This window comes from Homo sapiens, chromosome 21 (genome assembly GCF_000001405.40).
Source record: "Homo sapiens chromosome 21, GRCh38.p14 Primary Assembly".
In the NCBI taxonomy this organism is placed as follows: Eukaryota; Metazoa; Chordata; class Mammalia; order Primates; family Hominidae; genus Homo; species Homo sapiens.
The window spans coordinates 20,541,133-20,556,669 of NC_000021.9; the positions used below are offsets into that span (position 1 = coordinate 20,541,133).

Genomic DNA, 15,537 nt, shown 5'->3' on the forward strand with positions numbered 1-15,537 from the left:
GAAAATAGGGACCTCCACTTTCAATCACAAAAGGAGAAGTTTATTTTTGTCCAATTCAATACGTATTTTGAGAGTTTCATCCGATAGTGAGTTTCTTTTTTCTAGAATGCTTTAGGGTTAGTTCATCAAATATTTCAACCATTTTAGCCTTCTTCTCATTATCTGTTTATAAATGAGGTAAATTTTAGGAAAAACACCTGCTGATGGCCATGGTTTTAGGCTTTCAAGTTAACAACATAGAGAAAGACACCAAGCCAAAAACATCAGTCATAAAGATTATTTCTCCTGATACTATTTTTAATTTTTAATGAGGCAAACATATTCATATACATCTATACACACATACATATATGCATTATATAAATAAGTATACATGTGCATGTGTAATTTATATGAAAACAGACTCCTTAAATGCATATGATTTTTACCTTGGACTATTTTTGAATAGAGAAAATGAAAGTAGAAAATAGGTTTAGGGAAACTTTCACAGTAATCAAGACAAAGACATTATTGATTTAAAAGAATTATTTTCCCTTTTATCCTTTTATCCAAAATTATAGTGGACATTTTAGACTGAGTAGAAATATTCAGTCTCCCCAAAGCATATTCTACTGCTTAACACTGGTGCACCCACTTTAATTCGTAGGTATACCAAAGAAATACGGACTTTGGGGTGATAGAAGGGTAATAAAACCAAGAAATATGCATTTTCCAAAGTGACATTCTGAGGCCTACATTTTAGTTGTTTACTAAAGCTCTTTTTCCATAATATACAGCTTCAAGTGAAAGCCAACAGAATCTTTAATAGCCTAAACCCAGCAGTGACTTCCCTATTTATTTTGGACAATAACAAGATTGATCAATTTTTTTGCCCTTTAATATTGTCAAGAAAGAAAAGAAATATTTGATAGTAAGATAACACCTTAAACAAAATTTGTATCCCCAACTCAACTTTTTTTTCTAATTTTTAATTTAATTTTTAATCTTGTAGTAAAGTATTACATTCCTCTGTAAAAGTATAAAAATAATAAATTTTTAGCTCAGCCATTTTTCATAAAGAAAACTCACCTATGTAACTGTCATCCACATTAAAAATAGAATGCTATTAACAACCAGAACACCCAAGTTCCCTCTCAATCACTCTAGCCCTTGACTAGCATCCACTATTCTGTCTTTCAAAATACCACGTTGGTTTGCTTGTCTTAAAACTATGTAAATAGAATTATACAGTAGTTTTCGTTTCATTTCTTACTTCCATGAGGTGAAGTCTCAAGATCTGTACATTGTTATTTCATGTAGAAATAGTTTGTTAATTTACATTACTGCATATTAATTTTTATGAATTAATATATCCATTAGTGATGAATATTTGATATCTACGATTTTATAGCTTTTATGAATATTGATTTTATGAACATTCATATGCATGTATTGTGGTAAACATACATACTCATTTCTTTGAGTATGTACCTAGAAAGTGGAATTCCTGAGTCCTTCAGTATGATTTTAAAGAAATTGCCAGTTTTTAAAAGAGGTTTTAACCAATTTTTTTCTTCCATCAATACTGTATGAGTGTTCCAGTGGCTTCATAGCCTCCTTAATTTTAGTTTTTTTTTTTTCATTTTAGTCATTCTGGTGGTTGTGAAATGATCATTCATGGTGGAGGCTAATGAATTTGGCTATTTTTTAATATGCATATGAAGTATTTTGCTATCTTCTTCTTAAAATGACTTATTAAGTTTTTTTCTCTTTGTCTTTTGGGTTGCCTGTATTTTTCCTCAATGAATATAAGAGTTCTTTCTACAATGTGAGTGTTGAGACTTCATAGGTAATGTATAATATAAATATGTTCTCCTATTTAGTGGCTTGCTTTTAACTCAATGGTATCTTTTCATAATCAGAAGTTCTTAATCTTAATGAAATCCACTATATCTATTTGTAATTTTATGAATAGTGATTTCGTGTCTAGTTTTTAAAATTATTGCCTATCTGAAAGCCAGGAAAATATTGTCTTATATTTTTCTCAAAAATCTTGCTTTATTTACTTTTCACCTTTAGGTGAATAACCCACTTGGAACTGACATTTCTTTATGTGAGTTGGAGTATCATCTCATTTTTTTTCCATAAGACTATCCAATTAATCCTTTTTATATAGCTCTACAGTACCATCTTGGTCATGAATCAATTTGTGATATATGTGTAAATCTGTTGGTGGATTCTATTCTGCTTCATTAGACTATGAATATGCCAATACCACACTGCCTTGATTATTTGGCTTTATAAACCTCAATGTCTGAGTTTCCTCAAATTTTCTTTCTTAACCTTTCTTTATTAGTCTTAGAATTGATTATTATTGGCCAATTGTATTTCCATGTAAATTTTATAATCAGGTTATCAATTTTTACAAAAAACCTATTGGAGTTTTTATTAAGGTTTAATTAAAAATGTGAATCTGTTTTTGGTGAATGGACTTCTTTGCAATGTACATGATATATTCTATGTTTAATTATTCTGCAATTTTTGAAACTAAATTACTTCATCACATTCTGAAGAGGAAGTCCCCATAGGAGTTTAAATTTCAAATTACCTTACCTAAATTAGAGACCTTAAAAATATATTGCAAATGAATATACATGAGAGATTGGGCTTTCAGGAATCAGGACTATCATACAAGTAGAAAGGCTTTTGCATTCTATTTCATAGTTTATATGAGAAATATTTGGAAGCTCACATAAACATGTAAAATTCTTTTCCAGTTCTATTGTTTAGTTTTATTCTTATCTTTGATTTAATAAGTACATTAATTGTCAATCAACCACCAGGATTCCAAAGAGATATTGAGAGAAGACAGAATATAGGAAAACCATTCAGCTACTTTCCATTGTAGTGGGCCCTACTTTTTATTAAACTGTGTAATTGAACCGTATATGGAGACAAAGGCAAAGTTAGTTATGTCAGAATACAGAGTAATCTGTAACACGTTAAAAAAGAAAAAAGGTAACTAATAAAGTTTTTGAAAACTGAAACTCCTCTATTCAGTCCAAATCATAGTCTCAAGATTTGAGGACAATATTTCATGTCAACAGATTACACAAAAGATCTCTGGTATAGTAGACTATAAAAAAACAGCCAAGCAAGCCAGTTGTAAAAAACTGGCCTTTTCTGAAAACTAGTATATTCTCTTTATCTGTTTCATAATGTATTTTTAATAATATTTTCATTGTACTTATTTCTTGACAAAGTCTGATAATATATGCATAAATCATCTGTTATTGAAATTGGGTATTCTAATTCAACATATCAACCAAAATTGCATCTTTCCTTTTGCTAGGATAAATTGGGCTAAAGAGATCATTTTTAGGTCAAATTTTCACTTGAAAGGGAATCAAATGTACTTTCTAATTATATTTAACATTTTCTTACTTACTTTATTTAGTTCGTCAGATAAATTAGATATCTGCAGGCCAGCTATGAACAGACAAGAAGAACAACGTTGCTCTCTTTCTAAATGATATTATTTCTTTTATCTCAACCATGAATGTCCATTGTGAACAATAAAGCCTATTATTAACTGAGGAAATATTTTAAGATCGAATACAGTAAAATGAGCATTGTTGAATTTGGACAACATAATCATGCAGGTAAATGTATGATACCTAATAATCTTATTCAGTCTCTGAACTTGCTCAGCTATTTAGGGGAACATTTTATATTTCTGTATCTTAATTGGCTTACCAAAAAGGCAGATTTTTTCAAAATTAGGTCTTACATTAAAAATACACAAATGGATTTTTCTTAATGTGGTTTCTGTTACTAATATACACTTTAAATATTTTAGATAAAAAAAGGTCTCTTCCATGCTTTTTGGAACAAAATATTGGGTCTCAGTTATATACTTATTAAACTACTTAGATTAAAATTTCTTTTTTGAGCTGGGTGCGGTGGCTCATGCCTGTAATCCCAGCACTTTGGGAGGCCGAGGCGGGTGGATCACGAGGTCAGGAGACCGAGACCATCCTGGCTAACATGGTGAAACCCCGTCACTACTAAAAATACAAAAAATTAGCCGGGCATGGTGGCGGGCGCCTGTAGTCCCAGCTACTCGGGAGGTTGAGGCAGGAGAATGGCGTGAACCCGGGAGGCGGAGCTTGCAGTGAGCCGAGATCGCACCACTGCAGTCCAGCCTGGGCAACAGAGCGAGACTCCGTCTCAAAATAAAATAAAATAAAATAAAATAATAAAATAAAAAATTACTTTTTTGAAAACAAAATACATGTTCCATACTAGTAAGCATCCATGATGCCCATATGTCTAATGATTCTTCCACATATGGGTAAGAATAAATCACAAGATTCTGAATCTCCGAAAGTTCGTTTTCTGACCTACTTAGATCGAAAGCACATTTAGCACTTTAAGCACTTTTTCTCAGGCCTGAAAAATGAACGTATAGCTATAAATCAACACGGCATAGAGGAAATAGCAGCAAACAGGGAACCAGAGGATGTGCTGTTTGGTCTAGAGCTGCCACTCCTCACAGTAGATTGTGGACACGGTGCTTAACCTCCCTGAGGAGGCCATGTTTGAGCGGAGTATTGACTGACAAAGCGGAGACAGCGAAGGTCTGTGTAAGATGCTGAGGAACTACATCCCCTGCCTTCTGTTCCCTTCATGGCTACGTCCATGGGATGTATAGGATGTGTAGTTTTTATGCTTCATTGAATTATTAATATGCTGCTTCTTTTTTAAATACACCCGTTCAATTCTCAGAACATGATATTATAAATAAAAGATATTGGGGTCAAATTTAGAGACTTTGAGTTATTAATCGGGTTAAAAAACAGTACTTCAAAATTTTGTCTTACTATACACTGTATTTCTTTTCTTCTTTTTATTTTGAGTTCTGGGATATATGTGCAGAACGCGCAGGTTTGTTACATAGGTATAAATGTGCCATGGTGTGATAGTACGACACTACAACATTTTGTTTACTTTAAATGAAAGTTGTACATAAGCTATCCAGTGTTTGAAGAAAATTCCTATTTCTATATCTCAGAAATCTCATAATAAATCTTATCCTTGTACACAGCATCATCAGTATAAGGGTTTGCTTACCTAAAGATTCATATATTTCTTTCTCCTTGATAATCTTGAATTCTCTGAATAACCATGAAAATATGGCATTGAGACATTTAAGGCCTGCCTCTGAAAATATCATCTTCTTGAGGACAGAATTTTTTGAGAAATAATAGCTTATTTACCAAATGGAAAATTTTCACTTTTATTCATCAAACATGTACGTTAGAAAACTATTAGAAGAATGCAAAGAAGAGTGAATAGATTATGTAATTTTATTTAGTGTGCATTTGTAAATTCTATCAATTTTTAAAAATTAATTGAAAGTGTAAAATAACGTAACGATCTTAAAATTTAGGTTCTCTTGTACTTAGGAAAACCTAATGCTATTCCAAGTTTTTAAAACGCTAATTGAAATTTGTGGCTTTTTCTTTTCCTCCACCTAAAAATCCCATTGAATCTGATGACCCAGCCTAGATTTGCTTGTCAAGAAACTGATAATTTTTAATTTTTGTGAGATTAACGAGTAATAGCAGAAAACGTATTTATACAGTTGTATGATGAGATATACCAGCTTATAAATAGTTAATTTTTTTATTCACTAAGAAAAATATTGTTTTCCTATATTCAGAATAGTGGAAATACATAATATTAAAGTTATAATTTTAACTACATTGTAAAAGGTACAGTAATTACATTTGCCAAAAGGTAAAAGTGGCTTCGAGAACATTTGTGCAATTCAAGATTTTCAATTCTATTAGCTGTATTGAAAGTTCTCTCAAATCACAAAGCAGAAATTACAAAATTGGCAGAATGACTTTGATTAGGTCAAGTACTTTGTAGATGGGGAAAGATTATAGTGATAAATCCTTTTGAAATAGAACAACCTATTCAGTTTTACTTTCAACAAGCCCTTCTTACATCTCACACGATGATGAACTACAGAAATAAAAAGGTAAATGATGTTAAGACCTTTGCTCTCAAAAGAAAATAACAAAAACAAAACCTAGAGCCCTTTCTAAGGTTAAAATCAGCTGTCTTTTTACAGAATTCATTTTGGATTTTCATTCTGAAGACTTCCAACCAATAGGGTAGCCTTTGCCAGAAATTCATTATGGTTGTATACATAAATATTATTTATATGAGCCAACTGTACTGTGATCAATTTTAGTAAATTATTTACATACTTTCAATGTTTATGTTTAATTGAAATATGCCAATGCTTTTAGAGTTTGTTAAATTCATAAAAATGTATGCATGTATACAAGGGAACTTGACTATATCTTATTAATTTAATGAAGTTTGATATAAGGCAGACGTATTTTTGACGCTAGTCAAAAAGTGTTAGTTGCCGGGCGTGGTGGCTCACGCCTGTAATCCCAGCACTTTGGGAGACCAAGGCGGGCAGATCACGAGGTCAGGAGATCGAGACCATCCTGGCTAAAACGGTGAAACCCCGTCTCTACTGAAAATACAAAAAATTAGCCAGGCGTGGTGGCGGGCGCCTGTAGTCCCAGCTATTCGGGAGGCTGAGGCAGGAGAATGGTATGAACCCAGGAGGCGGAGCTTGCAGTGAGCCGAGATCGCGCCACTGCACTCCAGCCTGGACGACAGAGCGAGACTCCGTCTCAAAAAAAAAAAAAAAAAAAAAAAGTGTTAGTTACAGAATTAATAAAACTCCATATATTACATATTATATTGCACATGTGTATTTTTAAAAATAACTTGAAGTTCCTTTGAAAGCACAATTTTGTTTTAAATGCATTTTGGAAAATGCACACTGGGATGACACTCCAATCATTTTAATGAAATTTTTATTTTTAAAATAAAAAATATGTGTTGAATCTTGACTAGATCAATATTCACTGTATAAAAAAAATAAATTAAAGTGGCTATATTATGGACCCAAATAAAAAAGGTTAATTTGAAACAGATTTTGACCTGCATATTGGTACCACCACATGAGCCAAAAGCACAACACCAAGGCACAGCTCACTATTTTATTTTTTTCTCAATGTAACAAGATTTTAAAAAATAATAAAAAGATGGAAGGAACTAGAGTAAGAGTGGGAGAATCCCTTTTTAGTCCAGTAGGATTTGGTCTGGCATGCAAAATATTTCAATTGCTTATGGTAGATAGCAATTCAAATATTTGACTATAGGAGTTATTTACTTAAAGATTGTGAAGAAAAAAATGCAAAACCCACTCCAAATTTTACTGATCTACAGCCTGGAACTTCTCACACACTTTAATTTTCAAAAGAACATATCAACCCCACATCTCAGAGTCAACAATAGGTATCTTTATCATGAATGGCATTAAAAGGGATGATTTTTTTGTGTGTGATCTCATTATGAACTCTGTCGTTTGAGGACAGCCTCTTCATTTCTTGGAATGTATAACATGGGCAACCAGCATTTGGGATGCATGCACTCCCACCATCTCTGTTTTATATATATATATCTTAATCACTGCAACATTCTAATTCAGGCCATGTTGATTTAAGGATAAAACTAGAGGCTGGGCGCGGTGGCTCATACCTGTAATCCGAGCACTTTGGGAGGCCAAGGCGGGCGGATCACAAGGTCAGGAGATCGAGACCATCCTGGCTAACACAGTGAAACCCCGTCTCTACTAAAAATACAAAAAAAAAATTAGCCTGGCGTGGTGGTGGGCACCTATGGTCCCAGCTACTCCAAAGGCTGAGGCAGGAGAATGGCATGAACCCGGGAGGCAGAGCTGGAAGTGAGCCAAGATCACGCCACTGCACTCCAGCCTGGGTGACAGAGACTCCATCTCAAAAAAAAAAAAATAAAAATAAAACCTAGAATTATATATACCCTATATGGAAATGTAGTGGGTTTTGAAAGATTCCAATAATAAGTACAAATATGGAATTATCTATAGAAAAACAAATGCTGAATGCAATACTATGTTAATAGTAGTTATTCATTGATATGGTTTGCATTTGTGTCATCCCCCAAATCTCATGTCAGATTGTAATCCCCAGTGTTGGAGGAGAAGCCTGGTGGGAGGTGATTGGATTATGGGGGTGGATTTCCCTCTTGCTGTTCTCATGATAGCGAGTAAGTTCTTGGGAGATCTGGTTGGTAAACTCCCCTCTTCTCTCTCTCTTCCTCCTGCTCTGGCCATGTAAGACGTGCCTGCTTCTCCTTTGCCTTCTGCCATGGTTGTGAGTTTCCTGAGGCCTCTCCAGCCGTGCTTCCTGTAGAGCTTGTGAAACCATGAGTTAACTAAACCTCTTTTCTTCATGAATTACTCAGTCTCAGGTAGTTCTTCATAACAGTGCAAGAATGGACTAATACATTCATTATAAAGGAAATATCCAAGAGCCAAATGGAAGCAGACTACCAAGTAAACTGAGGTGGCAGGTTTGTGATAGCAACCAAAAAAAAAAATAACCCAACAACCTATAGTAACCAAGCTTTCCATGGAGAAATGGAGAACGAATAACACTGAAATATGTGTGTGCTGAACACTGGTCTTTGCCACTTCTATTGGTTGACAGGACAGATCACCCCAACTCTTTCTGTATATTGCTCTTTATAAGCCTTCACAACAACAAAAGTCTGAACACGCTCATAATATAAACTAGTCTGGGATTTCCATGAGCTAAAGATTTGAAAGATTATTAAATATAGCTGTGCTTTTATTTATGAGCAGCTCTTGACCCTCTTTTTCCCCTACCATCCAAAACCTCTAATAGGAAAAAGAAAATTACATATTTCATGTCATGTTTTCATTTACAGATAACAATCACTAGATTTGCCCCAAGAATATACATCTAGCTTGCATTTTCGTGATTTATAAAAGCCTCATGGATTTTTTTTTTGACTAGAGCTATGTCACTGATATTAAAATTGGCAGTCTTAAAGGGATTTCTTTTATTTGACAAAACATATTGTGCTCAAGGTTAATAATACATTTCAGCAATGTACATAGTGCTCTTGGCAGACATGTGCTCCGTTTCATCATTTTGATAGGCAGATCCTTCATCATTTGATAGGCAGATTCTTCTTCATAATAAGTAAAATCCTGCCAAAAGTTAATGCTCTGAATTGCTTTAAAATTCATTTTAATGTAAATTTGGATAGAACACTCCTTTCTTGCTATCAGACTAGCAAGTCAGTGTAAGAAAACTGGTTGGCCGGAAAGGAAGTTGGTAATTTTAATAGGAAACTCATTACAAAACAGTAAGTGGGATAAAATCGCACTTCCATGTTTGTTGGGAAAATCTGAAAAGTTTTGTTGCTTATGGGGAGAGAGAAAAAAGACTACTGAGAAGATTATGTCTAAAACCAAATTCCAAGCCACCTTTTATCAATAAAAACATAATACTAAATGTTGATATTTTTAGCAAAAGATAACAAAGTACAAGTATTGAGATTCTGGAAGGACATCACGCAAATGTTGTTGAAACATATATGGATTAAAATAATCTTACTGTGCTCTGTTACTGGAGTTCATTATAAATATGGTCTCTAAAAGTAATGTTTAGGTTAACCCACAGTTAAAACAATGTATAATTCCAACATTTTTTCTCTCATTAAAAAGAAAATTTAAATTGCCCTACTTTGCAAAGGTTATAAGAGTCTCATTTTGTTTGGCATCAAAAACTGCAAGAAAAGTCTACTACAAACTAACAAATATTTATTGGGCCTTTGTGATGTGCCAGCTTCAGCCAGTTATGGGAAAACAGATTCAAATATGTTTCTTGCTATTATGGGTCTTAAAGTGTACCTGGAGAGTAAGTCAATGAAAGTAGGATAGCACTTCCTGCTATAATTGTTTGTGTGAATGTTTTGCATAAATTTGGGGGTATAGGCATAAAGGAACTGACGATAGTGACTTTTTCAGAAAATTTCTCTATAGGCAGTGTGATTCATGAACAATACATAGGGATTATCTATACCATTTTAAAAATAGAAAGGAAGGCTTTTTGTTTGGAATGACCAATAGATTTGAAATAATATTACCCTTAGGATTATGACAATTAAGGCCATCTCACAAGCCTAGAGCAAATACTACCATTGGAAATAAGATGGAGGAAGCAAGTAAAAACTAGATGATGAAATAACTTTGGTGCAAAGCTAATTACTGTGCAAATTATTATAAATATTATAGAGAATCATTAAAAGATTATAATGTCAATAAAGTTTTGGTCATTCTTGATGTGCCGATTTCTTCAGTGGTATATTATTAAAAGGGGAGACAGCTGAAATGCTTGGGGCCCACAACAAAGAAACACATTTGGATAGACAGAATGGAAAAATTTATCACAATGGTTTTCCATCTCTCTGTCCCCCTCCCAACACCCCGCTCACTAGTGAGAGTTACTTAAGAAAGAATACAAAACTTGTTAATTTCTAAGTATCAGAAATAGAGAAGATAATCAATAACATTACAAAAAAATAGTTTGTAGCCTTAAAACTGCCATGTTTTAAGTTTCATAATAACTGTTTCCTAGTATTAGCCAAAGATGTGACTAAATTGATAAAATATTAAGTAAGTATAAAAATACTTGAAAAGGCAAATAATTATACACACCTAAATTAAAAACATTGAGTAAGAACTAAGAGATCCTGCAGAAACTGATCTGTTTTGGCCTTATAAACTCTACATATATTCTTTTAAGAGGAGTTAAACTTCCTTTTGTAAACCCTGGACAGGACATGTGTACTATCGCAATGTTGTATGCAGATTAGAACATGCTGTCAGGCCTTGAGTTAATTGAGTTGCAACTTCCCAGGGAAGTTGAACCTGTCACTCTGACTCCACCAACTTATCTAGTGATGCCTAACAACTCAGGGCTAACAGGACACCCTGGCTGAAGAGTTAGTGCAGTTTCCTAAAGTGTTTACACTTGGTTTCTCACTGGAAAATCTGGCTCATCACACATCCAGAATGTATGAAGCAATTTAGATCTACAGACAATAGCCAGATGGGCTGCCTTGAAGAAAAAAAGTCTCTTGTTTACAGATAAAGTAAGGAGAGAAATGCCGCCTAAGGCCAAGTGCCCAAAAACTGCCTGGGCAAGCTTCAGGGGGCTAAATTCCCAAACTCAACCTGCTGTCTCCAGAGGGTAAATTTTTGTATTGGAATGTATTATAGAGTTCATGATAATTGTTTGTATTCTATTGAAGCAACAACTCATTTTGCATGGATTAGGAAGCCCTTTACAGAGATATGCCATGAGGGAAAAAATTGCCTTTGATATAACAAATAAGCAGAATTAACCTTGAAATGAAGATTATAATACATTACAGTGCTATGTAGAAAATATCAGAGAAGTCAGAAGTAACTCTGTGTAAAGAGTAAAAACCTTGACAAGACTAATTCTTTTTCATTTTTTTTTCCTAGAATAGAGATTTGTTTTTATTTTTCACTTTAAATGATGTAAGTATGAAAATAAATCTCATTTTTATATACTTAAAATCATACACTTTATGTCATTGAAATGAGACAGGTACATAACAAGGTATCTTACTCTTGTTTGTTTAGAAAAAAGAAAAACAATAGCATCTTACAAGAGCAGGGATAAAATAATAAATGTCCTAGATGATGACTTGGATTTGAAAAATATTCAAATTTTATCTCGTTTCCTATATAAATCTTTGAACGTACTGCTCCATATCGAATTCTACATTGGTTTCTTCTCTTTCCATTTTAATGAGTCTTTTCTAGAAAGTCAAGATCTCTTGAGTTTGGGGAAATGTAATCAACTCAAAACTGTTCAACAGCACAGAACTTTGCAATGTTTATGGAGTGAAAGCACAGCCTGCTGCGATGAGTTATGTCTGTAAAAAAAAAAATTAAACTTTGATAATCCATAAGTCCTAGCCTGGGGGGGTACAAGCATATGTTTATGTGTGTGTGTGTGTGTGTGTGTGTGTGTGTGTGTGTATTTTTACATATACAAATATGTCTGTTAAAAAGTGGCCTGTATATCCAAAGTGTAAGCTAGGTATAAACCTTTGGGGTCTATAAATAGTATCTGGTAATGTGTTACAAAATGTAAGATATCACTATTATGAACTTTTCTTTTTTCGGGAAGAAACTGTCTACATCTGAGTTGAGTCTGTGAAATTAGTCATTGTAAAAGCAACTAGTTAAAAAGGCATTTACCTTTAATTATTTTATTTAAATTTCAACCCATGACTAGTAAAGCAATGAAGAAAAGGTATTTTAAAGTTAAGAATACTTCTATCTTTATAAAGAAGTAGATACTATTCCAATCTCATTAGGAAAAATAATCTGCACGCCTAGAGAAGCCTTAATCAGCATGTATTGAGCATCAACTAAGTGCAACATTTCTGTTAAGACACTGTTAAGGATCAACGAAGAAATAAAACAGTATCTCCAAGAAAGTTGACTCTATACTTTCCCTGAGCATTAGAGTCAACTGGAAAGTCTTTCAGAATACCAATTTACGTTATCAGTCTAATGATTCTAAATCAGAATCATGTGGGTGTGGAAGTCAGGAATCAGATTCCCCAACTGATGGAGGTACAACCCAGCTAGAAAAATGCTATATTGGAGAGGTTCTTCCCAAATACCAGTGTTCATAAGAATCACTTGGGAATCTTGATAAAATACGTTTTCTTATGGAGTAGGTGTGGCTTCCACACAGAAATTCTGTGAGAAGCTACATCCTCAATCAGCTCTACATGTTGACGTGAAGCTGTAATTTAAAATTTAGAGGACAGAAGAAACCATAAAGTAACCAAGTTAATTTAAAGTGATTCCAGACTAATAGTGCACTAATGTCTGGCAGATGAAATATACCTTCCCTCTGTAGGAATCCACCACTATTTTGGCACTTGAATAATTCCCACAAATAAATTGTTAAATAAAACAAAGACTTCAGGAATAACACTCTTTTAAAGTAGTGATCTCCTTTGCTGAAGTAGGAATAAACTGAGCTTTATTCTATGAACAGATCGTTTTGATGGTTTTTGGGGGGAGGAATATTTAAAAACCTAAACTAAAAATCTGAACTGAAAAAATGACATTGGAAACTGTTCATAGTAAATGTTAAGTAAAAAAAAGAAGGCTACAAAATTGTATATATATATATATATATATATATGGTGCAGTCCCATTTGCTTAAAAATATGTATATATAAAAAAGAGGTAAGAGCTAAAAATTCACACACCAAATGTTAACTTGTCTCCAGGATAAATAAGCATGTACTACTTTTAATCAGAGACAAAAACCAGTGTGTTTTCAAAAAGTGGAGAGCTAAGTCTCTGTTCTAACTTCTTGCTATCATTGTTGACAATATGTTCATATTAATTCAGCACCATTTATGGCCTCTTAGCCAAGCATATCCTGTTTGTGACAGTATAAGTCATTGTAATGGAAAAGATTATGATGCACTGGCCTGATCTAAGACTTCACTGCATTCATCAGCCACAGGAGACAAAGACATGCACTTTTTTCATAATTTTTTTAGTAATAATTGACTATTAGAGAAAATGAATGGCACATAATAATTACGGGCAGACAAGATGGTCAGCAAATCAAACTGGGAAATGCAGTCTCAGTTTTATTAATGCGGTGATTTCAGAACATTACAAAGATATTATTGTTTTGTTCTCAGTCTACTCCTGAAATCACTGTTTTTACCAGAAGTTTCAAAATTCTTTGCTGACCGCAGTGACCCCCAATGTGTTTTTAATTCAAGAATCCAGTAATCCCACATCAAGGATTTGGTGCTGAACATTTTATGTTTAATAATATTCAGGGTCATTTTGAACTCCTCCCTGTGCACATAGCCAGTAATAATGCACGGTGATATTGCAGTAACATTTCTTGCCTCTGACTAGCTGCCTGCTGCCCAGGCATAAAATCTTAAAAGTTTTATTTTCCATTAAACTTGAAATATCAAAAAAAGGAGTCAGGACAGAAACATATTGACACATAAAAGACATGAAATTGCATAGGCCACCAGAGGTTTTTAGGAAAACTGTGGATGTTGGAAAAGGTCTTTTAGAGCCTACACCTAAAGCCTTTCCTCTGATTCAGTGTCATAGGCAAAGAGTGCTTTTGCAATTTCATGGATAAAGGCTCAAGCAGAGAGAATTCAGATGTAGATCCTGAGGCACATGTGCCTGGGTTTCTCTACTTTTTTTTTGAATGATGTTAAACCAAAAATAAGGAATTTATTACACAGGCAAAAACTAGAATGACAATTAGTTCCATTGCCAGATTTACAACACCAATCTGTGCATTTTGAAGAAGGCTAACAAAAATAAAATAAATCTTATACTAAATTGTTGGCTTTGAGAAAACGAAAAATGGGAATGACCCTACTGCAGTCACTAAACACAGTAGGATAGATGGTTCTCTTGGGAAATATTCTTATAGATTATATAAACAGAAAGGACTTTGAAGAAAAAGATCAACCTACATTAATAAGCTAAAATTTAAAAATTGAGCGAGCAATGGAGGTGCTCAAAGGTAGAATCAGTAGCCTGATTTCTTGTTTCACCCTTAAACTCACAAAAAGACATCTCTCTAAATAATAAAGGACAATATTTCAAAATTATTGCTGATAGAGGTAGACAAAGCTTACCATTACATAGTCTTTCTATGTATTCTAAATTTGTGGTGAGCTCTGAGACTGATTCTATTTTCCTACTTACACTTCCAGCTCAGAAAAGACAAAAGATTTCTAAAGACAAGTGAACATGTTGTTCAAAGTTCAAACCTAGGCCATAATTTATCTCAAGGAAACATTTTTTTTCTCTTGAGACCATATAGACTATAAGTTTTCCAGGCCTGATAACCAAGAGAAAATTTGGAGTATTCTGGGATCTTACTAAAACCTGCAGGCAATGAGGTCCTAGGGTTTTCTGAAATATCCATAGCACCCATGACAGCCAAGTAGTCAGATACTTAATGAAACTGTAATACAAGTTGTGATAGAATAAGCATGGTCTCCATTCTTTCTGAAGGAAGCTACCTTGCACTTGGTTTTCTCCCCTGGCTAGCTTCCTATTGGTCACTTTCGTGTGTTCATGCAGTCAAGAATAGCTTATCCACCATCACAAAAATCAATGTAAAAGTCTGAACCTAGCTCACTCTTGGACCCCAGAGAGAAAAATAATTTTCTTCCACTTCAATTTAGTCCTGCCTCAGTGAGCCCTCTGATACTGCCTCAGAATTAAATCTTCCCAGCTTATATGTTTGAGAAAATTCTAAACACTCCACAACCTCAAAGCTCAGTCAAGATAACAATATAATAGTTCAGCACTTCCTTTCTTGAAGTCAGTATTAGGTACTATTTTTTAAATCTCAGGTCATTCATTTATTTGCCCAGACTTCCCTTTATTATAGACCAAAAAAGATGTTTAAGCATGATTTGCAAAAATTTCCATCCAAATGCCACCTCTCTAAATATCTGCTTATGGAATTATACAATTTAAACATTCGAAGT

General features: G+C 33.8%; 1 annotated feature.

The window, feature by feature from the left end:
• Positions 4,370 to 4,570: a silencer, noted in NCBI's record as "peak4373 fragment used in MPRA reporter construct". NCBI's record gives its function as "represses an SCP1 promoter by STARR-seq MPRAs in K562 erythroleukemia cells {active_cell/tissue: K562}" and the evidence as "EXISTENCE:reporter gene assay evidence [ECO:0000049][PMID:32103011]".